Below are 25733 nucleotides of genomic sequence, written 5' to 3'. Positions count from 1 at the left end.
GGTGAGAATTAAAGGACATTATGGGTAAAGCACTTCTGGAGGGACTGGCAGTGTAAGACCTTGACAAGTGTCAGCTGCTCTCCCCAGGTTTCTCATTTTTAAAAATTTTGGTGCTAAAGTGCAGAAAGGCCCCATCCCAGGTCGGGTATTTGTGGCTCTTCTTTCTTGGTGCTTAGTGTCTTTAAAAGGGCATATGCTGTCCACAAAAACACATGGAAGAAGCCTGTAAGAAACCAGCTCAGAATGCTGCCGTCGGATTCCTGTCCCTCTTCTGATCTGCAGTTCCTGCCCTGCGATGAGATTTTCGGACCCTATCAGTTCTGCCCCTCTGCTTAAGAGAGTCTCTCCTGCACCCTGTTTTGATAACACATTTGCATGTACTTGTTTAGCTCAGTCTTTGGCCTTCACCCCTACACGAAGTCAGCTGCTCATCACCTTGCTTGAAAGGCTCAGAGAGCCACAGCAGTCTTCACCTGTTTCTATTTTTCTCTGATATAAATTGTAGACATTTTCTCATCTTCTGCAGAGAGCCCCATGATAATGTCAAACCCCCTCTTCCAACCAGTTTGCCTCTTCCAAGGCCATCTTGCATAGGAAATTTGGAGCCAATCTCTGAGAAGTAGAAACTGTTGGCCTCCATCTCAGTGGCAGGGGACTAACAAATATGCTTGCACTGACCCTGCATGCACACCTAGCTTCCCCAGACAGATGAGGCTGGACACTTTCTCTTCCTTCTGCACTTGCTGCTCTCATTGGGTTGCGCTTTCATTCTCTCCTTCTGCCTCTTTCTTGGTGATTTGATCATAAACATTGTGTGTTGGCTCACAAACCTGGGATTCCATCAGGCAGAATCCTGCCTGCAGGAGGGGGCAGGTGAGGATGCTGAGGGTGCGAGCATCTTCCTTTGTTGTCTCAGCATCTCTTTTTGAACCCAGGCATAAGAGAAGGCCCCTGTGTCATTGATAGGTAAGTTAAGACCAATAAAAGTATAAACATAACACATCTTAAAAACAGTGATATATCCTTTGTTTCTGAGAAAATACAGAGATGGCCTTAGAAAGGCTCTTGCACATAGGATGAAGCCTGAGCTGGTTTTAAAGCAAAGTGGTCTTTTTGATCATTTGAGAGAAGGGTGCTATCCTGGGCAGGGGAATGATATGAGCAAAGACAGGGATTCTAGAAGCTGAAACGTGTTGGGAAAGTGGAACAGGGAGCTGCAGGAAAAAGGAAAGTTGTTTGCTTACTGTGCATGAACCCAGAGTCTGCCACTCCCACATTCCCCGATCTTCTGGAGATTTCCTTTCTTTAAGATCTACATGCAGTGACCGAAGCGTGAAGCCACTTCCTAAGGGGAGCGTCCCCTTCTGTCCGAGGAGGCCCTTATTCTCATGGCCGGTGCTCGGGCCCCTGGATTCTTGCCCACCCACGTCATTGGTTCCCTGCCCACAGCCAGCATTTTACTCCTCGCTCCCCTCATTCTTTAAACTCCACCAACGCAGGCTTTGGAGAAACAGACTTTGCTGACATTTGGGAGCCATACAGTGGCCCCATCAGAGAACAGGCAACAACTTATGAATGACCACTAGAAATCCAGTCCAATCCACCACAGGCCATCCTGCCTGAGCTGCTCTCTCCTGAGCCTGCCTGACCCCATCACATCCTGGCCGACTCTCTCTCTCAAAACCTCTCTTCTCTCACTCTGTGTTTTCTCCTTTGTCTAATATCTCCACCAAGAGCAGGCAACAGTTTCTGTTGTTTACGATCAGAAGAGTTCATTTTTTTTTTCTAAACGTTTCTCATTTTGAACCAGTGGACCTTGACATTCACAGCCACACAGGCCCACTGAGGTCTTTTTCTTAAATAAAACAGCAACTTTTTCCTAAAGAGGCATTTGTCTTTCTTCTTAGACCACTGTTCTCCATCCTGGATGTGCATTACTGTCACCCGGGAACTTTTAGTGGCATCACCACCTGGGCTGCCATCTCTAGCGATGCTGATTTGCTTGGTTCCAGCTGGACTTGGGCACAGGCATATATTTTGTTTGTTCTGCTTTTGTTTTTATTTTTTTATTAATTTTTTTAAAAAGGGGATGGGCTTGTTGGAAAACATTCCCCAGGACATTCTAACACGCAGCCATAGCTCAGATCGGGAGTCGGCATCCTTTCTCCGTGAAAGGCCAGAGAGTGAAGATTTTCGACTCTGTGGGCCACATCAGGTCTCCGTCATAGATTATTCTTCTTCTTCGTCTTTTTTGATTGCTTGTTTTTAATTCCTTTACAAATATAAAAACCATTTTTAACTTGGGCCATAGCAAAGATAGGCTTTGGGCTTTTCTGACTGCTATTTTAGACCAACAAGTTCCATCTTTGGCCTTTCTTCATATAGTTCTATTTTCTTCTCCTTATGGAAAGTGGGTTTCAGGAGACTGGGCATTTTTAAAAATTTGTTTCCTTATCTTTAATGCAAAGGGATTGAATGTATGATCGCCTATGCTCCCTCCAGCGCTGAACTTCTCTCATTCTATTTTGTGGAGATGGCTGTGGTGAGCTCTTCTCAGGCCATGAGGCACGTGTGTCCTGGCCAGGAGTTCATCACAGCAGCCCACGAGGGGTGCATGGAAGATTCTAAGCTTTCAGGTGAAAAGATCTGGGTACCAATTCCAGCCTATCGTGTATAAGCCTCCCTCACTGCCCCATCTATGACTAGGATAATAACAGCGACTTGATAGGGCTGTTGTGAAGATTAAATAAGATGACGGAACCTGTGCAATAAAGTGGAAACAAGGCAGCTCCTTCGTCCAGGTGCCTCAGGTACTTGCTAACTGTGTGAGTTTGGGCAAATGCACTGCCCCAAGCCACGGTTTGCTCATGTGTAAAATGGGGATGATTATATCACCGCTTCCTTCAGAAGGCTGCGACAGTTAAATGGAGCAACCCATGTAAAGTGCGTTAGACAGAGAGGAGGCACTTAACAAACAGCTGCCATTAGACTTGCTGAGGTAAAAGAACCAGTTCAGTCACATGGCCCAGTGTAGGATCATGATCACGTGGTCAGAACATCAGCGAGAAGCTGAACAGTGCTTTTCTGTTGCTTCTCTAGGGTTTTTCCAACATATGCACAAAATCAGCAAAAATATATATAGAACCGAGGAGGCTCAGGGAAAATGACAGGCAGACATGCAGCTATTGCAAACCCGTGATGTGCCAGGCCCTGGGTTTCTTCCTGGAAATAGAGACATAAATAAGACACGGATGATGATCACCATCAAGGGTTCAAGGGCAGTGCATAGCTCTTTGTTCAAATCCACAGAAATATGACTCGAAGAAAGCATACGGTGGATAGAAAAGATCTTGCAAATCAGCCCTGTGTTCTTCTGTATCACAGTTCAGGAATGTCTCTTCTCCATGCAGGTTCATGGCACATCAACGAGTGTGACTGGGGAGTGCTGGCAAATCTACAGTTGAACTGCCTAATAATTTGTGGCATCAGAACCATGCAGGAGACAAACAAAATGACTTAGACCTTCTGTGTGATCTCACGAGGGTTGTGTTGTAGGGCTCCTGTAATAAGGTGAGTTATTATATCTGCGTAGTGCCGGGCAACATGCCTGGGCCTGCATGAGCTCCTCCTCTGTTCTTGGTCTCTCATTTGACATGAAGAATGAGAAGCAGACCGTTCCTGCATGCACTCACGTCTTCTGAGATCTATGGATCTCTGCTTTAGCTCTTCCCAGTTTACTATTTGATGAAGGAGAAAAGGAGAAAGGCACTAATAGGCACTAATCCTTTAACTTTTGACCAGTCTGTTTAACGACTAAAACTGCTCCTTGGAGGTTGACTTCATCCTCAGCATTTTACCTTTTTACTAATTTAGAAAACTAAAGTATAGAAGCTTTAATTTTTCCGGAGCCTCTGATCAGATAGTGGGAGAAACAACTTTTAAACTCTGGACTGTCTGCACCAAAAATCAAAGCCCTTTCACAATCCTACACAACTCTCCTACTTACCTCACAAGTAATTGAGCTTTAACAATAAAGAATATTTATAGAGTCCTTGCCTTGTGTGCTTACTGTATATACTGGAGTTTGTCATGCTCTCAGGAGGGAGGGTTTATAAGTGACCACACCAGTGCTACTTCACAGGCTAGGGAATTGCGTCACAGAGCAGAGTTTAGAAGCTTGCTTAAGGTGATGCAATTAATAGGTGGGAGAGTTAGTGTTTGAAGTAGCCAACGGGCCTGTTGTTTTTAAGAGCTGTGCTATAGAATCTCTTTTTGCTTGATTTTTGTCTCTAATCTTCTTGGTCTGGTCACAAGTTGCATCTCTATCGACAAATTGAAGCAGTTATCTAGAGTTTTCTGCCCTGGATTTTTAATAATTCATGCAAAGACCTTAGTCTGTTACTGAGGATAACATACTTGCCATGTGGAAAATGAAATAGGAGTCCATTCTTTAAAAATATGTGCTCCAAAGTGCAGATCCTCAATCTTTTCTTCCTGCATTCATCTATGCAAGACTTGAGACTAGGGAGACCCTATTTAAAACACTTGTTTATAGCTCCGTATCTCTTGTATTGGTTGGCATTCCCTGGTTAAATAAAATTCCCAGATGGACTTTATTTTTTCTTTCACCATTCCTCAAGTCAGAGAGTGACAGCACAAATTGAATGTGAGGCGTGATTGGAAGGATCCTCATTTCGTGTAATTTAGAAACAGAGACAGTCTGAATGGCTCGCTGATTTAATTACAGGATGTAAAAGTGGGTGAGACATGGCACAGCACTGACGGCTGATGGAGGCCTCCACTGTATATCCTTGTTTTCATCTCCCACAATTATTCGGACAAATCTTATGGGGAAATTTTGATGTGGCAACAGTAAACAGATGCTTTTCTTTAACTGCCAGGGTAAATTACCAGGTAATTTTGCTGGAAACGTGTGTCAATACAACACGGTCTCTCTTCCTGTCTGTGTTTCCGTCTTTCCTCCTTCCTCCTCCCTGTAGCCTTTCAAGACTGTCTCTGTTAGCAGAGAAATGGAGAGAAGCAGAAACCTTCTCTTTCATAAGGTATTTTCTGAGGATGCAATTTCTCCCTTTGCAGCCAAGTGGCATTTCTGAGCAGGATGTTAATGAGCCCAGTGCAGCCCTTGGTAGGCAGCAACTGACCAGCAGAGCTGGAAGTGTGCTCTTGGCTTTCAGAGATATCTCCAGTGATGCTCGTAGCCACCAGTTTTCCAGTTTGGTGGTGAAGCTGTGACTCAGAATTGAAGCCTATGGTAATTTTATCTCATCTTTCATTTTGGCCTCGGCCCTAAAAGTTCTGAAGAATTGATTTCAGACTGTGGAAAATCAAAGAACAAAATCTCATTTTATTCTGGAAACCATAGCAGGACCATCCACACCACTGCCCTGGCTCCTGACCTCATGCAACACTCCTGGCCTACATGCTTGGCCTGGCACTGCCGGCTGGTCCTTCTCACCACACCATGCTGTGTTGGTGACCTCAGCTGAGGCATTCCCTTAGCAGTGACTCAATGTGTTTCTTCAGTTTGTGCATTTATCCAGCAAGGAGGACATAGCTCTGTGGATAACCTATGGATCAATGACTCCATGGACAATGGTGGTTATGGACTAAAGTGTCACCAATGCCACCAAATGAGAAGCACTGGGATGATGTAGCAGAAGGAGCTTCCAGGGCAGCTGTGACAAATCGCAGAGGCAGTTGTCCTCATCTCACCCTGCACTTTATTTGCAGAATCTCCAGGATAGCTGACTGGCTCACTTTGCTTCCAGTAATTGCCTTCCTTCAGCCATCAACTTAAACTTGATCATCTGACGGCTCCCTCTCCATGGGCAGCGGGTCTCCCTAGGCTGCCACCTGTGGGCCAGTGTGGGTCAAGTCCTCTCTGACTGTATCTCTTTGCTCCTGCCAAGCTGTGCTGCAGACACACCCTCTGTCCCATGATTTTGGCATCCCGGTTCTCTCTGGTCCCTTTCTAGGGCCTCCCTTCCACCCTCAGGTGCTGTCATCATAGCTGGAGAAGGCATCTGGAGCACTCTTCAGGATGCACACTCTCTTGTTTGGTGAACCCCAGTATCTTTCTCTTTCTTCAAGAAGTCGCCAGAGTCTTCCATCCTCCTGGAAGCTTGCCTTAAGCTCTCCACCCACTTTTTTTCTTCTTCAGTTTTTTTTTTCTCTTCGCTCTCTCTTTCTTTCTTTCCTTCCTTTCTTTCTTTCCTTCCTTCACCTCCCCTCTCTTTCTCTTCCCTTCCCTTCGCTTATCTCCCTTTCTTTCTTTTTTCTTTCTTTCTTTCTTGCTTGCTTTCTTGCTTTTTTTTTTTTTCTTCCTCAGAGCCTCACTGTGTTGCCCAGGGTGGAGTGCAGTGGCACAATCTCAGCTCACTGCAACATCCGCCTCCCAGGTTCAAGTGATTCTCCTGCCTCAGCCTCCTGAGTAGCCAGGACTACATGTGCCCGCCACCACAACCAGCTAACTTTTGTATTTTTAGTAGAGACGGGGTTTCACCATGTTGGCCAGGATGGTTTCTTTCTTTCTTTTTTGACAGGGTCTCTTTCTTTTTTGACAGGATCTCTCTCTGTCACCCAGGCTGGAGTGCAGTGGTGTGACCTCAAGTCACTGCAGCCTCTGCCTCCCAGGCTCAAGTGATTCTCGTGCCTCAGCCTCCCAAGTAGCTGGGACTATAGGAACGCACCACCACACCTGGCTAATTTCTATATTTTTTTGTAGAAATGGAGGTCTCATCATGTTTCCCCGGCTGGTCTTAAACTTCTAGACTCAAGCATTCCTCCTGCTTCAGCATCCCAAAGTGCTGGGATTACAGGTATGAGCCACCCTGCCCGGCTTCTCAACCCACTTAACAGTAGCAACTGCCACCATTGCCATTTGCTGTCCTCATAATAATACTGTGGCATAGGTATTATTATTCCCATTTTGTGGGTAAGAAAATAGAGGTTCAAAAAGACTATGATTTGCCTAAATTAATAATTCGGTAATAATTGAAAATAACAAGCTTTAAGTGCTTATGTGCCATATAGTGGGTTAAGTTTTTCATATAGATCGTCTCATTTAATTCTTTAAAAACCCCATGTCAAACCCCATTTGACAGATGAAGAAGTGAGTCTAAGAGAGATATAATTAATGACAGAGCGGGATTTGAACCTTATTGACTCTATTTTAACTGCCAGCCTTGCTCCATATTTCATTTTCTGAAATATTATCCCAAATAGTTCAGTAACTGGCAGTTATTATTATTGTCACTTTTAAAAAAGTGTTAAAATTTTGGGGAAAAACTCCACTTTATTCCCAGTCTGGCCCCTAAGGCTTGTTCTTTTATTTTTAATTGGCAAACAATAACCCCTCTGCTTTCTTGAAAGGAAACTAGATATTGTAGGAGGCAGCATCAGTTTGCCTGCCTTTCCCAGAGATAAGACCACTGAAATGCATACTTTGTGCAGGTGAATACAGATTAAAAGCTGACTAGATGATAGTAAAAATGGAAATAAATAAAATGACAATTTGTCTCATTTCATATTTGTCTAATTACTCCAGTTGAGATATAAATGTGTCACAAAAATATAGCTTTTACTCACTCATATTTTGCATCTTAATTTCCCAGTTCAGCTTTTTCTGCCCCTAAGTATGTAACTCTTATATACTCCAGTGCTTTAGTAATAGCCTTATCCAAGCTATTGACATGAAAATAAGGAGTAATGTATACTCAATTGTACATAATAGGGTTGTAATTCCGTGGAGAGATGCCTGAGTGCTTTCCTAATGCCATGAGAAATTCAACGTGGAATTACAGGCTTGAGTTAATGTGCAAGAGTATCGGGTTGGTTCGTGTGCAGCTAGATGAGCTGACTTTTCTGCAGGATGCTACTACCAATGCAGCCCCTCTAGAGAGCAATGCTGAAGGGGAAGTAGAGGCTACAGCGAGGCCATCCACTCTTCATGATGCATTAGGATGTCCTGTTCCTGACATAGTCTGGCTGGCTTCATTACGCTCATCCTGCTACAAAGAATAAGACTCCAGGGATCTTCCTGGTGTAAAATGCATTCAATGGAGATTGACATTTCCAAATCATAACAACACAGTGCTCTATTCAATATGAGATATTTGTCAAGATTTTTATTAGTGAGTAGAAATTATGAGCTAGGCATTCATACTCCAGCAGAACATCTTGCTCTAATTATTAAGGGCTCTCATTTTTGGCCACAGTTGTATCCAACCAATACTAAATGACTTCATGTGAATCACCGTGCTAAGCTGTGGTGGTCATCTAGGTGTCCCCTGTACAAGTGTCTCAAAGGGAGCCCCACTGTGAATGTTTTGAGGGTACGTGAACCTGGGTATGTAGATCTGTGGGGGCTGGAGCAGTGTTGTTGGGTGGTAGAGCCAGAGCTGGTGTCAAGAGGAGCCAACATGCGAGCTAGAGCTGCATGAAAGGTTTGGTGGAGAGCTAGGAACGGATATGCAAGAAAAAGGATCAAGGATAGAAGATGAGAGGGTTGGAATAAGGATGGACTATGTATTAGTCCATTCTCACACTGTTACAGAGAACTGCCCAAGACTGGGTAATTTATAAAGAAAAGAAGTTTAATTACTCACAGTTCTGCATAGCTGGGGAGGCCTCAGGAAACTTACAATCATGGGAAAAGGGGAAGAGACACCTCTTACGTGGTGGCAGGTGAGAGAGAGAGTGTGTGAGCGAGAAGGGGAAACTGCCTTATAAAGTCATCTGGTCTCGTGAGAATTCACTATCACAAGAAAAGCATGGGGGAAACTGCTCCCATAATTCAATCACCTCCCTTCCTCAACACATGGGGATTGCAATTTCAGATGAGGTTTGGGTGAGGACACAGAGCCAAACCATGTCAGTCTGACATGCCTTAACTAGTCTGGGATTATGATTCATGACCAAGGATATGGAGGAACCCTGCAGCTTCCCTTAGGAGTACTTGATGTAAAGGAGTCCCATGAGGGCCAGGTACAATGGGAAGAGTGATGATCCACAAGAGTAATAATTTATATTTTATAATTTACAAAGTATTTTCACCTACATGATTTCCTGCAATTCTTACAAAACGCCATAAATTATAGGTATAGCACCTTAGGTCAAATAAGCTAGACCAATGGTTCTTAACATGGGATCCAAAAATATCTTGAAACTCCAAGCAGCCTTCAAGGTGGTGTTGTGTAGGCATTAGGAGCCTGGAGTTTGAGGCTGGGCCATGCGCATCCTGGCTCAGTTGTGCTAGCTGTGTGATCTTGGGCAAGTTACTTAACCTCCCTGGCTCAGGATCCCCATCTTTAAAACTAGAATCTAAATAATACTTATTATGATAATTCCTCCTAGTGTTGTTTAGATAATGTAGGGCCAAGGGGAAACTTCCGGTTTGCCCTATAAAGGTTCATTGAACATCAACTTTAAAAAGACAGATTCATAGGAGAAAAGCATACAAAACTTAATTTTCATTGCATAGCATGGAGAATCACAACAGAATGGTTGCCCAACAACCCAACGGGTACAGAAGCTTATATTCCCCTTTGCATAAGGGGAGGAGGAGATGGGGACTGGGGGCTTTTTTCTGAGGGGCAGCAAATAATTATTATGGAGAATAAATGGACAGAAATTAACTTGTAAATGATTCTTTTTTTTGGAATTTCAATGAGCCAGAGACACGGAAAGCAGGTGCTTTTGCGTTCCTCAGTCTTCTTTTCCCAGATAGACAATGAGATTTCAGGAAGGAGAAAAAAGCAATTGTGTTTCTTTTGGAAAGAAGCTTTCTTGATCAGATAAGGACATTCCAGGAGTCTCTCCATCCCTCCATGTGCTTGCTAGGGTCGTGGGTGAATAAGGCAATGTTAGAAGGACCTTGATTCTGAAGCAGCATATCAGGCCTCTCAGCATGGGAAAGCGCCATTTCTGAGGTACCACTTTCTGAGCTCCAACAATAATTAACTGACTTAATACTAAGGCACATAGTAATCCCTGCATGAGTTGTTCTCATTGCTCAATGCATTCTTCCTGCCCACTGCACAGACAAAACCAGTTCACTGAGACCATGGTACTGAAGTGAAGAAAGAGTTTAATGCTAGGGCAGCCACATGGAAGAACTGGAGTCCATTATTCAAATCAGCCTTTCCAAGAGCTCAGAGGTTGGGTTTTTATAGCCAATTTGGTAGACAGGAGTGCTGCTGATTGGCTGGGAGTCAGTCATAGGGGCGTGGAAAGTGGTCCTCATGTGCTGAGGTCCTCAGCTTCTGGGTGGAGACCACAGGACTGGTTGAGTCATGAGTCACAGGTTCATAGTTGATTACTAGAACCAAAAATCATGGAGTTGATTGCTAGAATGTAGAAATCTAAACAATATCTCAAAATACCAATCTTAGGTTCTACAATGGTGATGTTATCTGTAGAAGCAATTGGGGAAGTCACAGATCTCGTGACCTCTGGCCATATGACTCCTGAGCAGTAAGGGATTGTAGAAACTATGCCTACACTTGAGAAGAACTCAAGCCTCTCCCATAATCCTAATCTCATGGCCTTTTGTTAGTTTTCACTCACTGAGCAAGGAGGGGGTTAGTTTTAGGGAGGGACTATTTTCCTTGCATCCAAGTTAAACGATCAACTAAATTCCTCCCATGGTTAGCTTGGTCTATACCCAGGAGTGAGTGCGGATAGCCAGCCTGTAAGGCTAGAAGCGAGAGGGAGTAAGCCATGCTAGACCTCTGTCCTGTCATCATCTTCTTATGCAGAGGCAGTTTCAGTCTGAGGAGTTTCCAAGCCATGAGTGCAACTGTTGGAATCAAAGCCCATGTCATCTTTCTGTTTCTCATCAGAGAGGCTGAGTCAACTTCAGGGTAGGGGCAGTGTTTGAAAAGGGCCTTGAAGGATCCTTCAGATTTGGAAAAGGGGAGATATGGGATGCAGAAAGGGAGTGGGATAATAGGAGACAGGGATTGCAGGGATTTGCTGAGGGTGGTCCTTTAGCAAAACCCAGAGATGTGAAAGTGACCTTCAAAGATGTGGGAGTCATCTGTGCTGGTTTGGGATGCAAGAGAGAGGAGAGAGTAGGGGAGCAGGCACCTTTTCTTTTCCTTCTTATTTTCTACTTTGCTTCTCTCTCAGTGTCGTGATTTCATATCTCCTGCAAACATAACCCATCCTCCTAGGTCTTTGGCTTTAGATTATGAAGGGAGTGAGGGGTGTTTATGTGTGATGGGAAACTGAGAGAGCAATGGGACTTGATAATTTATTCCAAGTTCAAGTTGCAATGGAAGGAGGCACTGGGACAAGGCTCCCGGGCTTCTGCTGTGTACGTATTTTTCCGAAAAATAAGTCTTGGCATGGTCAGGGTGTCAGGGCCCCTCAACATGTGGCCTTGTGCTCCTAGGGAGGGGCTGGCCCTCCCCTGGCTGGGCTGCTGCCATCTGGACCAGTCATGTTCACACATGGGCTTTGGAGGTCTAGTCCTCAGCCGGTGTGTATTAGGTCACTTTTGCACTGCTATATAGAAATACCTGAGGCTGGGTAATTTATAAAGAAAAGAGATTTAATTGGCTCATGATTCTATAGGCTGTATATAGAAAACATAGCACTGGCATTGCTTCTGGGGAGGCCTCAAGAAGCTTAAAATCATGAAGGGAGTTGAATGGGGAGCAGGTGCATCACAGGGCGATAGCAGGAGCAAGAGAGCACGGGGGAGGTGCCACACACTCGCAAGAACTCACTGACTTATTGTGAGGACAGGACCAAGGGGATACTGCTAAACTATTTACAATAAATCTATCTCCATGGTCCAATCACCTCCCACCAGGCCCCACCTCCAATACTGGGGATTAAAATTCAACATGAGATTTGGCGGGAACATGTATTCAAACTATATCACCATGTGAGCTCAGAAGGCCCCTGTGTGGAGCCAGCTGCAGCAGATGCAAACTCCCTGTCCCTGGCCCTTTCCTTGGGCCTTCCCTTCCCACTTGGCCCATATCCTGCCTCCCTGCTTCCTCCTCACTGTGCTTTCACACAGGACTGTGGGGAGGGCTATGCGTCAGGGCTGCGTATACACTGCAGATGTTCATCCCAAACAGAACCCTAGGAACAGTCATGAACAGATGCTGTCTATCTGGGTATTGGCCAAGTATAATGGCTAAGTTTGTGTATCAACTTGACGGGGCTAAGAGATGCCCAGAGAGCTGGTAAAACTGTATTTCTGGGTGTGTCTGTGAGGGTGTTTCCAGAAGAGATTCACCTTCAGATTGGTGAACTGTGTAAAGAAGACCCAGCCTCACCAAAGCGGATGGGCATCAGGCAATCCATTGAGGGCCTGGCTAGAGCAAAAAGGAAGAGGTAGGGTGAGTTCCCTCTCTCTGCTTAAGTTGAGTCATCCATCCTCTGTCGTCCTTATGCATTGGAGCTCCTGGTTCATGGGCCTTCGAACTCAGAGTCTTACACCAGTGTCCCCCCAATTCTCAGGCCTTCAGACTCGACTGAGAGTTACACCATTGCCCCATCCCCCAACCATCTACCCATTTATCAGTACTCAGGCCTTTGAACTCAGACTGAATTACCTCATGATCTCATGAGTCCATTCTAATAATCAATCAGTCTGTCTACATTTATCTATCCATCCATCTATATCTATCTATCTATCTATCTATCTATCTATCTATCTATCTATCTATCTCTATATAGCTATCATCTGTATTAGTCTGTTCTCATGCTGCTTATAAAGACATACCTGAGACTGGGTAATTTATAAAGGAAAGAGGCTTAATTGACTCACACTTTAATTAGCTGGGGAGGTCTCACAATCATGGTGGAAGGCAAAGAGGAGAAAAATCTCATCTTACGTGGTGGCAGGAAAGAGGGCATGTGCAGGGGAGCTCCCTTTTATAAAACCATCAGATCTCGTGGGACTTATTCACTATCATGAGAACAGCCTGGGAAAAACCCACCCCCATGATTCAGTTACCTTCCACTGGGTCTCTCCCACAACCCATGAGAAATATTACAATTCAAGGTGAGATTTGAGCGGGGAAACAGAGCCAAACCATATCATCCTCTATCTTTCTTATTGCTTCTGTTTCTCTGGAGAACCCTGACTGACATGCAAAGTTCAAGCTGTATGGATTAAGTCCTCTTAATTGCCTTCATCATGTTTGCCCAGATTGCCTCAAGCAATGATTTCATAATCTTTGTTGGTAAATGAGGTAATCCTTGGCGGGAAGTTTTAGCCTTACTGCCTGAATTTTCTTCTCAAATGCTGTATTGTCCCTTTTCTGCTGTTTGCCACCATTTTAGCTAACTCTTCTTGACATTTTAGAGTTTATACTGTGAGCTTTTACAGGGAGGAGAGGTTCCTCCCTTCTCTTTATCTCTCCTGGGGTCATATTTGTAACTTAGCCTGTGAGAAAACCACCTCTTCTTCCTATAGCACTCTAAATTTTTCAAGTGTGTTAACATCTTCCCTTGGGAAGATGCATGAGGCAGTGGAGCACAACATTTTAAGGAGGTATAAAAGGTGGTCCACAGATCCGTGGCCAAGCTTATCTGTTTCCCTGCTTTTTCCTGTGTGACTTTACATAGGTGATTTAATTTCACTTTCCTTGTATGTCAAATTAAAACAAAAGCAATTTTACCACCTTGCATTGCAGTGCAGAGCAAGTGAGAGGCTACATGGAAACCATGCACGCAGGTTGACACACACTGAGCCAGCACTGCACACCGTGGTCCCTTCCCTTCTCCTGCATCTTCACTGGTGTGCCCTCATGCTTCCTCTTTCTCACTCTCTTTTTCTCTCTGGTTTTTATCAGTTTGTTTCTGTATAGCTGAGGAATAATGATAAAGCACTAATCTACCATTTCACTCAAGTGTAAAGCCAGAAAATCTGTTCTTACACTGATATACCAGTTCCTTATATTGATATGCTGATTTATTACATTTGTTAAATATTTTATAATTTGCAAATGCACTCATTTCTTTGCTTATTCATTGAACTCTTCATTCAACAGAGGGTTTATGTTTGCACTGTGCCTGGCATCTGCTTCCTTACGGTACCTGGCAACACCTTCTGAAGTGCCAGAGTGAGGACGTTCCCTTTGCAAGTGTGGATGCCCAGATGAGGGATGCCTCAAGGTCACGCAGGACGTGAGGTCGGCTCTTCTGACTCTTGGTGCGGTGCTCTTTCATCTCCTACAGGCTTAGTGAATCTCAGTTAGCGTCAGAGAGCACATTGGTCAGGGAACCAGGGGAAGCTAAGTGCCCTATAAAAAGCCTGTGTGCCTCCCAAGGAATCCTCTTTTCATTGGAATGATTTACAGTGGGATTTTCATTCTAAAAACCTGCCACCTCCTGAATGATATTTGTAAAATGTTTAACCCCATGGGGATTCCTTCTGGTATGCAGGAGAAGGTACCATAAATTGTTCTGTTTTCTTTTTCAAATGGGAAGACATTAATTATGTTCTAAGAGGTATGCCAAACTAAGTGCACAGGAAAATGCATTTATAGTGAACATTTTGACTAAAAAATGCAATAGACCAGCAAGGTTACTATTTCTCTCTGTCCAGAGTTCCCTGGAGAGTGACTGGAGCTCCTGGCTGGGTCATAGGCCAACTAGGCTAATTTCCGGAGGTTTCTGAGCAGGAGGTGCAGTGCCTGAGTGCAGATGGAGCCTGATGGGAAGGAGGAGGGGAGGTGCTCAGGTGCACGCTGGCACATACCCGCTATCCAGTCAGAGAAGCCAGGTCTACTAACAACCAAAGAACAACCTTGGCCCCCGAGAGGAGGAAGCAAGGCCCGCGTGAGAGCCTGGTACAACAGCACGAGGGACGGGGTTGGCCAGCATTCTCGGGCTGCTTACCTGGGCATCCGGCCCGGAGGGCTAAAGTGGCCTTTGCTGCACCCACTTTGCTAAGTGGTTGTTGTGAAATTTGATGGTAACTCGCGGGCACAGAATTTAGGACAACCTGTTCCTCTTTTTGGATGAAGCTGAATTTATTCACGTGCCACTTTGAGAAAACAGAAAAAGCACAAAGGTCCCAGAAAAAATTGTTCTTTCTTCCCTAAAATCTCCTGAAATACTCCGCAAACATGAATCGTAAAGCCACCCTATCAGGGAACTGGATGCATCTCCAGGAGACAGCCCTGCTTCCCAGTCCTAAATGTGATGCTGATGCTTGTCTCCCAGGGAGGAGCTGGGAAAGACCACATTTCCCGAGGTCCACATTTCCATTGATTCTAGACAAGTAAGTGGAAGGAATAAGGACGGACGGGGTTACCAGGCCTGGGTTCTCGCCCGGTCTCAGTGCTGTGGGAAGTAAAATCAGTCCTTTATATGGGTCTCCTAGGGGCCGACTGTGGGCTTGGTACTGACACGTGGTAATTTATTCAGCACTAACTCCAATCCCACAAGTTAAGAATTGTTATCCCTGCTGTGCTGTTGGTCAACCGGACTCAGATCAGTTTCCATACAGCACGTGTTTGACAGGCGTGTGTTAACTGGGGAAATGGGTAACCCAAGGGTTAGCAAGAAGAGGGGGTGTGACACCCCCTGGGCTCCCACCTTACAGCAGTATGCTGGCCCGGACTCTACGGCATGTGCAGCGTGTGTGGTATGTGTGTATTGTGTGTTTGTGTGTGTATTGTGTGCATGTGTTGTATGTACGTATATGTGGTATATGTGTGCATATGTGTGTGGTGTGTATGTATTGCATATGTGTGTGTACGGATGTACATATATGTGTGTATATGTGTGCATGTGCATATATATAGTGTATAAATTGTGTATGTGTGTATAGTGTGTATATTGGGTATGTGTGTATATTGTTGTGTAGAGAGTGTGTGTGTGTATTGTGTGTATATGTTGGTGTGCACATGTGTGCTTGCCAAGGAAGGGGCCGCTCTCCACTGCCCTATCCCCAGGTGCAAGTATAAGGAGGACTGAGATGCTTGGAGTTAACAGGGAAGGGTCTGACCCAGGGTGTCTGTGGGTAGGGAGCCCAGCTTTGCTGGAGTATTCTGTAACTGGCGACCTTTGGTGAAAAGGGGTTCAGGCTGCTCCAGAACCTGCTCCTCCCTCGCCTCTCCCCTTGCTATGGGGGTCTGAGCTCAGGGCAGCCCTCCAGACAATGCACCCATCCTGCTCAGCCACTGCTAAGTAATCTGGGCCCACAGGGCCGGGCTCTCCCCACTGGGCTAGAGAGGACCCTGCGGCTCCCGAGGCAATGCCTGCTATCATAAGTCGAGTGCACGATGGAGTGAGGATGCACACTCAGTCACTTAGATTTCACATTTTACACTCTTTTCATCATACTCTTTTTCTTTCTTCTAGTATCCCTTCTTTAGCAGCCTTTGTTTCTCCGTTCTAAAAAGCGGCTAATACTGAGTGAGCTGTGTCATAGCAAAGTAACTCGTCTGGAACCTTCTCATGAAACTGTTGTCCAAAGGAGAGAGGAAACACACACACACACGCACACAGGATGGGGGATGTATTGATTGCTTTTTACAGTCATACTCTGTACATATTTTATCACAATTAATCTCTATGACAATGTTGAGAGGCATTCATTCTATTTTATGTAAGAGGAAACTGAAACTAAGAAAGTCAAAGTAACTTCCTCACATATACACAGCCGGTGCCTGCTACCATGTGGAAAGATGATGCCAATCTGGCTGGCAGCCAGAGAGAGAACATCTGTTTTAATAGACAGGAAATGCTGGGATGCCGTGAGAGCCCCCGTAAGAGCCAGGTACTGGAAGCAGCTGTTTCCAGGCGTTGTTGCCTTCCTTGGAGCAATGCACACAGCTGCTTCTGATGGAAGCCACCCTTGGCAATGGCCCCGTGGTGCATGCAGCAGGAGGAACTGGTACTTGGAGCACTGCCAGTGGAACCACCGAGTGAGCGCCACTTAGGAGTGGATTCCACAGGAGCTGCCCCTTCCATGAACTTTGGATAAAATGTGCCCCTTAGAGCCACCATGTGTCACTTCAAGGTAGGGGATGGAGTGCTTAGACCCATGGCTCAGAGGCCTCTATCCCACCATCTTGTTGGGCTTTGCTAGTGGATGTTTCTCTCCTTAGAGGAGGCAAGAGCTCACTAGTCTTTCAATGTATGTCTTTCTGAGGAGTGGGACCCTGGATTTTTATTAGGGCCTCTGGTGGAGTGCAGACCAGGACACTCTGGTAGTGAGCCCTTCCAGCCACACATGATGGAGTGGAAAGATTCTCAGTGTTGGTGTTTCAATGGCTGCAAAAGCTGCCTGACCTTCAGTGAAGTCCTCGATGCCGCCAGACCTCCATTTCATGTGTATAAAATAAAGGCCCTAATGCCTTGCTCATGGGATTGTTGTGAGGAGTATTTGAAATAATGCATCCAAAGCACCTGATGCAACATTGAGAGATTTACTGCCTTCTTGGCCAGAAGTCGTTTTCCTTCCCATCCTTCTCCAATAAACTTTTCCTGGCTCCCAAGTCTAATTTAGGTTCCTGGAGAGTTTGGAATGCTTTTGGTTACAAGTGATGGAAGAGATGAGAAAGAAGAAAGTTATATTGATGAGAAAGAAGAAAGTTATATTTTACAGTCAGTTCCACTGTAACAGGATGCAAATGCGTCTAAAAATCCCCATCCTATGCAACACTGGATAATAGAAACCACAGGGTTGTTGGGGATAAATGGGACTAGCGACACATCATTCTAAATTTTTGTCCATGACATAAAGAATAGTGACCTAATAAAAACAGTAGTATAGTTTTACACAGGCTAAATGATTAACATATGCATAAATACTACAGAAACTATGGTGCTTAACCTTGAAAAAGGCCTGAAGCTTGCTTGAGAGTGTGGGTACTGGGGTTGCAGCTTGTGCACTGTGGTGAAATGGGGGGAGTAGGAGGCTATGATCTGAATGTGTGTCCCTCCAAACTTCATATATTAAAACCCTAACCCCCAATGTCGTGGTATTAGGGGGTGAGGTCTTTGGGAGGTGATTAGGTCATGAAGATTTCATGAAGATGCCACCCTCATGAATGGGATGGTTGCATTTATAAAAGAGGCCTGAGGGAGTTTGTCTGCTCCTCCCCCTATGTGAGGTCACATAGGAGGGTGGCATCTATGAGGAACAGACCCTTCCAGACATCAAATCTGCTGGTGCTTTGATCTTGGACTTCCCAGTCTCCAGAACTGTGAGCAATAAATTAATCTTGTTTATAAATTACCCAGTCTAAGATATTTTGTTACAACAGCCTAAATGGATTTAAACAGTGGGTGATCTGGATTGGGAGGGAAAGTTGTAGCCCCAGAGGTGGGTGGTGAGGCTTCTAACACGTGAGGTGAACTGGAGGTTGGAAAATGCTGGGGTGTGTGTGCATGCACTTGTGCGTTCCTAGTCTCAGATCAGCTGCGTGCAGTTCTGTGTTCACCTGGCATTTCTTGCAAATGAAATCACACATACACAAACACAAAATTTGCCTTATTGTCAAATTGTTCCCTAATATCAACCTCGTTGCAACAAATGTGAATGTGAAATCAACATTGGAGCAGAACCACCTGCACCGGTGTGCCCTGGTGCTCTCCCTCCACTGGGGCAGATGATCTTCCCGGGGAAGACAGAACTGACCCTGGGGCAGGTGGTTGATGGTGGTGGCCCATGCACTTCTGTGTGTTCAGTGTCATGAGCTACTGCAGTTTACTTGTCTCTGGCAAGGTGCATTTATACATTACTTTATTTTTAACTCTGTCAGCCCTCCAAAATGGATAGATACCTTAGAAGTATCCTTGCAGTAAGCAATGGATTGAGGTTAATAATAATAACAATAAACAATAATATTGCAAACATAAGTGAACACAAATAAAACAGCTGGTGTACGTTTTCCTTCTGAAGCAAGTTATCAACTAGTTATAACCGGGTTAAAACAAAAGTCATCTCATAAGATTTGACAAGAGCACAAACAAAGTTTAACATTATGTGAAATTATTTGAAACAATATTTTCATCCACTATTATTAATTTACTCTGTTTGTGCATAGGACCTTGAGGTATTAGCTAAGAAAGTACAAATCCAACACAATTAGTAAGACCTTTAAAACCCCAGTATCCGAATATGAAGACAAACATGTATCATATTTTTGGAAATGCTAAAATTTTTACATGATTCAGTCCTATACGTTGCAAAATTCCGCTCACTCAATGGGAATTCTCTAGATGCCCCCTTTGAGTTTTCTTTCTTAATAGAAAAGAACAAGGAGCAATATCAATTTAAAACACCTTTCCTTCCTACTTTGCTGAAATAATTCACAAAACAAGGTGGCACGTACAAAATCGTGCCCTTCGCCTTCAAACACTTTTGGAAGATGAACAAAAATATTACTGAAGATTGAAGGGCACCAATGTGTGAATAAATTATTCAGTTTGAGGGGTTTTCTACACAGCTGAGTTAAAGTACAGATGTTTCTAACATGCCCAACATTCTGATACTTGCAAAGTTCAGTTTCAATAATGAAATACACAAAGAACAACTTCTTTGTGATCTACAAAAGAAAGACCTGTCAGAAACAAGCTCCATTCTGAACAGCAAAGCATTCATTTAATGAAATAATATTGCATGGAAAAAATTATAGAAGGGTAATCGGTGATGCTTTGTGCAATTAACAACAACAGTTATAATACAACAAGATCCGGTCAGGTATCAGTCATTCACAGGGTTATTCCTGATAAAGTGTCAATTAAAATGTTGCAATATCTTTTAAAGACAAGGGAAATACATATGAAAATATTTCATAGCACACATACGTTTGCTGCAGATCACATGGCAAAGTACTCAGAAGAGCTGTCAAATTTAGAAAAGAGTTATGAAAATTATTATTATTTGAATGCAAGTGATCCATGGGGGACACAGGTGCTGAGTGCTAGTTAACCGCAGATGCTACCAACCAGGTATTTTTTAAATTACTAAATTAAATATAAATAAATTCACACATACAAAAATAATTACCTAAAGTATATAACGTCAACTCATAGGTGATTTATAAACAACAAATGAGAAAGTGACTGCTTTTTTGAGATAAACGTACGCTGTGGAGAGTAAATGGGCAATTCGAAATTAGATGTCTGGAAGTGATTCTATGATAATGTGAATTTATCATCAAAACATATCTCAGCAATGACAACGAAACTCTCAAATCTGTACATTGTGAAAATGTACAAAAACATCTTTAACCTATTTTAAATTTTCTAAAATGAGTTATAGTGTTTTGAATCCATTTGATAAAATTTAAAAAGTGCACTAATTTCTTAATTCACTTGCAAGAACAACTCACTTACATTGATGAAAAAGAAAATTCAGTAGGTGTATTTTAGTAACAGCAACAGGTCTAGGTATAATTGTTGAATGGAATTGAAATGTGATACCAAAATGTAAAAGGCACAGTTGATAATGCCCTTCTGTTTGGATTTATGTACTTTTGTCATATGCACTTTTCAACTATGATTTAGTACAAAAAATGAACTGAATTTACAGCTTCACCTTTATTATATCCCAAAGTGTCAAAGCAACATAAAAAATCATATTTTCTCATTAAAATTATTATTGATAAAATATTTCTTCATTAAAGCACAGAGGTTTGTATTTTTAGTGATAAGCAAAAATTAAAAATTGATTTAAAACCTTATTCATTTTCCCTTAACTCATCCTTTAAGGTGTTTTTTTCTTTTTGTTTTTTTGTTTTTGTTCGTTTGTTTTTCCCTTTTGTTTTGTAAAGCAGTGATCCTTTTTGGCACCAGGGACTGGTTTCGTGGAAGACAATTTTTCCAAGGACAGGGTTGGGGTGGTAGTGGTTTTGGGATGAAACTGTTCCTCCTCAGATCATCAGGCATTAGATTCTCATAAGGAGTGTGCAGCCTAGATCCCTTGCATATGCAGTTCACAATAGGGTTTGTGCTACTATGAGGATCCAGTGGTGCTGCTGATCTGACAGAAGGCAGACCTCGGGTAGTAATACTCACTCGCCTGCCACTCACCTGCTGCCGTGCGGCCTGGTTTCTAACAGGTCAGAGGTTGGGAACCCATGTTGTAATGTATTCATCTTTTTCAGTAGTACGTGTATATAATTACATAATTATTAATACATAATTAATTAATACATAATAGGAGTAGATTCTTTATGTTCTCAGATTGTCCTACTAAATAAATAATCAGAAAACAAGGGAAACCACTGTTTTAGACAATAAATGAGACCTATTGCAACACAACCTGATCATATCAGACAGCTATTGTAAGGACAAAAAGCAAGTGAAAACGGAAGAACCCTTAAGGACATCAGATGTTCTCATCACCATAAACCTATTTTAAAAAATATACAAACACTTGTAAAATGATCGTGGTGTGCTGGCAGTCTGCCAGATAGGATTTCAAGAAACCATTCCTGGGTGTATTTGGAGGAGAAAATAGTATTGACGCCACCGCAGATTCTGAACCCCAGCATCTGTAAAGACTTTGCTAACATTTTTTGCCTTCTTATTCTCCATACATTTTAAAATTGAAATGATTTCATTGTATTTAAAGATGAACCATTCATTCACAGAGATATATATTTTTAAAACCATTAATAATCCTCTCACCTTTACCCCTTTAAGATGCTTCCCTTCTGAGGTCATCAAATGGAAGTTTGCCCGGAGCCCACCGCTGCTGTGTTGGTCACTGTTTGTTAGTCTCCTGTGAAGAAGTGTGTCCTGTCAGAGTGTGGGGGGCATTCTGCATTGGCACTGATTGAGCCTGCGCTCATCCTGCAGGGCGGTGATCATTGTCCACACTGTACAGAAGGTCAGGTTGAGGCTTGGAGAAGCTGAGTTACCAAGTTACCAACCTTGTTCTGCCCCATAGGGGAGTGGTGCCAGCCAAGCTTAATCCAGGAGGGAGGGTGCCAAGCTTAATCCAGGAGGGAGGGTAGGCACTCTTTTTTTTTGAGATGGAGTCTCCCTCTGTCACCAGGTTGGAGTGCAGTGGTGTGATCTTGGCTCACTGCAACCTCCGCCTCCTGGGTTCAAGCAAGTCTCCTGCCTCAGCCTCCCGAGCAGCTGGGATTACAGGCACGCACCGCCACACCAGCTAATTTTTGTATTTTTAGTAGAGATGGGGTTTCACCATGTTGGCCAGGATGGTCTTGATCTCCTGACCTCATGATCCACCCGCCTCAGCCTCCCAAAGTGCTGGGATTGCAGGCGTGAGCCACCATGACCAGTCGGCACTCTTATCTCATTTTATCTTATCTGTGCTCTGTCTTAATGTTCTCTCCTAATCATGGCATAATTCTCTGACTCAGTTCATGTGTGTCGGCCTGTCCTGGTGTTTCCAGGACACTCATGTGCAATTGCACACTGTCTTCCTGGTGACATTAGTGTATGTATGCGTGTGTTTGAGTGAACGGCTGGAACTGCACATGGGCCAATTACATAGGTGGTGATGTGTGTGTATGAAAGATGACAGCAGAATGAATCAGCTAAAGCCATGTGCTAGAACTCTGAAGAATGGGTTCAAATCCCAGGTCTGCCACTTAACAGCTAGATGGCTTTTGGAAAATTTCTGAAATCTCTTTAAGTTTCATTGTTTCTCATCCTTAAATGAGGAAGAAAGTTCCAAAGATACCACTTTACAAGATAATATGAGGAGCTAGTGAGATAACGCATATGCGTGCTTAGCATGTACCTGGCAACAGGTAAGGGATCAATAAGAGGCAGCCTACTGGATAATTGATTCATAGCCAATCATTGACTCACACTCTTCCCATGCATGGTTTCCTTTAGGCTCCAGCACATTTTTTTTTACAACAAGGTGGTACAATGATAAAAACACCACTCTGCTGTTAGACCACGGATTTCAGTCCTTTGTACATCCTAAGAGTTCTGATAATCCAGGAGGCTGGGGGCCATGTTTTCCACTCAAATTGCCCTGGTGCTGAAATGCACCACGTATAGCGGACACTCAATTAGTGTTTGTGGGCACCAATGAGTGACTATAACTGAGTGATTTAATTCTCTGGAAGAGCTATTTTAGGTTATATCTTATGACATTTTTTCATAGTTGTTAATTTTTGGCCAATAAAACAGCAATTTTACACGATTTAACCTAGTAATTTACAGGACTCACGGAATAACTTTTTGAAATAACACACTATGTGAGATTTTTAAGAGGCATCACTAAGTAATTAGCTGAAAACTTGCAGGAACTACAACAAAAATACTGCAAACTTTTCCCCAGCCCAAACTTTCATTTCATGGATGAAAACAAAACAAAATAACAGCCCTCTACCTAAATCAAGGGATTGCTCCTGTTGATTTGGAGAGATAAGGCCAGATACGGAGAGATGAAGTCAGATCGTGGATCCAAGTATTTTGCCTTAAGATTCAGGTCCTTTCTGCCTTAACATTCAGGTTTTTCTAATTTGAAAACAAGCCAATTCACTAATAAGGGTTTCTAAAGCATCCACAATATGAGGAAAGAGCTATGGGGAGAAGAATACAGGAAAATACAGAGATCCATCTTGACAACGTGATCAATCAGAAAACCTAGAAGTGAGAATCATCAGCTTTCATGGAGCGTTTGGAGAAGAGGCTTGTTGGCGCAGGAGGGCGGGGTCTGCGTTGCGCTTACAGGTCTGTAAAGAGAGAAAGGGGACATTTAGGCGGAAAGGTACAGTGGAAATGGCATTAGGAATAGAGGCAGGGGTTCAAAAGGAAGCTGGGTGGTAACAATACTCCCATTTCTTTCGAGTTCATCAATTAGAATCACTTTCTCTGCAAATTTGACTTCACAGGTGATCCGCTTCACAGATGAGGAGGCAGGAATGCCCACAGGGGATTCACCCATCGTCATCAGCCACACGCGGGAGATGTAGGGCCAGATTTCTCCCTCCATCTGTGTGATCCCCAATCCTGTGACACTCCTGCTTCCTTTTCCCGTAGTGGGGGAACTCCCTCCAAATGGAATTTCAGTTGCTTAGATCTTTGAATTGGATAGTACTACCTATGCTCACACTAATTAAACAATTAAGTCGATGCATTTAATTTTATTTTCCCCTGGAAGATGTAATCACCAGTATCGTTATTGAGGAGGGAGGAGGGGAGAAGAAAACTCCAAACAGCAGAAAACATTCCTGAGTTCTGTGCGCAGTGCCTTTGATGGGTGTGCTCAGATTTTTTTCATCGAGGTGGTTTTGAATCAGTTGCAGGCCTTCTTTCATGTGGGTAACTATTTAAAGATGTGATATTCGGGGCAAGCGTTTGTACCAACTCATTTTCTCTGTCTTCTCCCAGGCCGCTGAGGACCGCACAGGGGAGCGGGCGGCGGCATCGCGAGGACTGACCACTGGGTGGCACTGTTGCTCCATGGAGAGCTGCCAACGGCGTCCCCGGGGACCCGGCCACGTTGAGCACAAAAGGTGGGATTTCTAAGGTGTGCTCGGTGATGAGTTTCTTAATGAATTTACCTCTTCTATGGAATCTCCCTCTGCAGCGTCTCCTGCCGCCCGGGGCCGGTTTCTGACTGTGGACTCTGGGTTGAGCCCATGGGGTCAGTGCGCGTGGAGCTTGCACTGCCCAGACCCACAGCCCCAGGAGCAGCCACCTCCCGTGTCACCCGGGCGGCGTCCTGATGACATCACTTAGAAGATTAAAAATAAATTGAAGCACATGTCACCTTAAAGGGGGCACAAAAAGGACATCTGCATGATTTGATGCATCCATGAGAAAGGGCTGCTGGCTTTTGATTTAAACTGTTGGGAAAGAGGATTTTAAAGCTTGTAAGCTGCTAGTATTTCCAAAAGAATGACTATTTTTTATTTTTTATTATTTAAATTAAAAAAGCACTTCCCTGTTCCCCTGTCCCTACACTCTAATTCTTCTTGGCTTTGATTTGGGCGATATTGTAGGCAGCTTTCTGCTCCACGGTGAAGGTCTGCCCGAGGAAGGACGGGGACAATCTTGGGGAAGATGGGGGAGGCGGGGACCGATTTTCCAGCCCAGAGCTGGGGTCTGCAGAACCAGGAGCCCGGGCCAGGCTGGCCTATCAGCCATGACCATCTGTGCACCTTAGCCACCTACTCACAGCACAGCCTCCATCTGCAGATCCACCTAGGACTCATCCATTCCTGACTGGTCTTTTGTTTCAAAACCCGGCAGCCCCGGCCCCTCCCAAGCCTGAAGTCACCACACACGCCCATCCTCCCATCAGTCACTTCCTGGCTAATGGGGACTGAGGCCCAATCATTCTCGTTTTTCATGCCTTGTCAGAGGCCTGAACACAGAGACAGAGGAAGGGAGAGAGAGAGAGAGGGCAGCTCTGGAGGAGGCGCAGAGTATGGGCAGATGTCCTCATGAAAAATTTACAAGGAATAATCAGAGGCCCCTTCTCTCCCCTCTGGCCAAAGTCCCCCTAGGCTTGTTGCCCGGGCCGCTGTGAGAATATTGGAAAAGTCCCCCTCGTTTTGAAGGCAATCTGGTTCTGGGGGGTTAATGCCCAGCGTTGATGCACTTGGCTGTCCTCTTGAGACCGGGTTGCAAATGCAGTTCAGGCAAAATTGATGAAGTATCAGTTAATCTGAGGCTGACAGTTTAGAGAGGTCACAGCTGCGAGGGGCTGCCAGGGTCTCCCAGAGACAGGACTAAGAAGAGTTAAAGCCAGGGAGGGCCCGGTGAAAGGAAGCATTCATCTTCTTCGC

The 25733-nt window shown here is 44.1% G+C and overlaps 1 long non-coding RNA gene across 1 annotated transcript, besides 1 other annotated feature; it reads left to right on the top strand.

The window, feature by feature from the left end:
* The first annotated feature begins 779 nt into the window (after window positions 1-779).
* Window positions 780-24891, top strand: LOC105373404 (uncharacterized). The gene is made up of 4 exons (XR_922745.3): window positions 780-966; window positions 3411-3570; window positions 6746-6839; window positions 24331-24891. It is a non-coding gene; the product is annotated as an uncharacterized LOC105373404 (long non-coding RNA).
* Window positions 23348-24547: an enhancer, noted in NCBI's record as "CDK7 strongly-dependent group 2 enhancer chr2:6913298-6914497 (GRCh37/hg19 assembly coordinates)". NCBI's record gives its function as "activates an origin of replication core promoter dependent on BRD2, BRD4, P300/CBP, MED14 and CDK7 cofactors, with strong dependence on CDK7, by STARR-seq in HCT116 cells {active_cell/tissue: HCT116}" and the evidence as "EXISTENCE:reporter gene assay evidence [ECO:0000049][PMID:35650434]".
* Window positions 24892-25733: the final 842 nt, after the last annotated feature.

Source organism: Homo sapiens, chromosome 2, assembly GCF_000001405.40.
Source record: "Homo sapiens chromosome 2, GRCh38.p14 Primary Assembly".
In the NCBI taxonomy this organism is placed as follows: domain Eukaryota; kingdom Metazoa; phylum Chordata; class Mammalia; order Primates; family Hominidae; genus Homo; species Homo sapiens.
The sequence above is the reverse complement of the archived record's forward strand: the minus strand, read 5'-3'. Positions and strand labels throughout refer to the sequence as shown.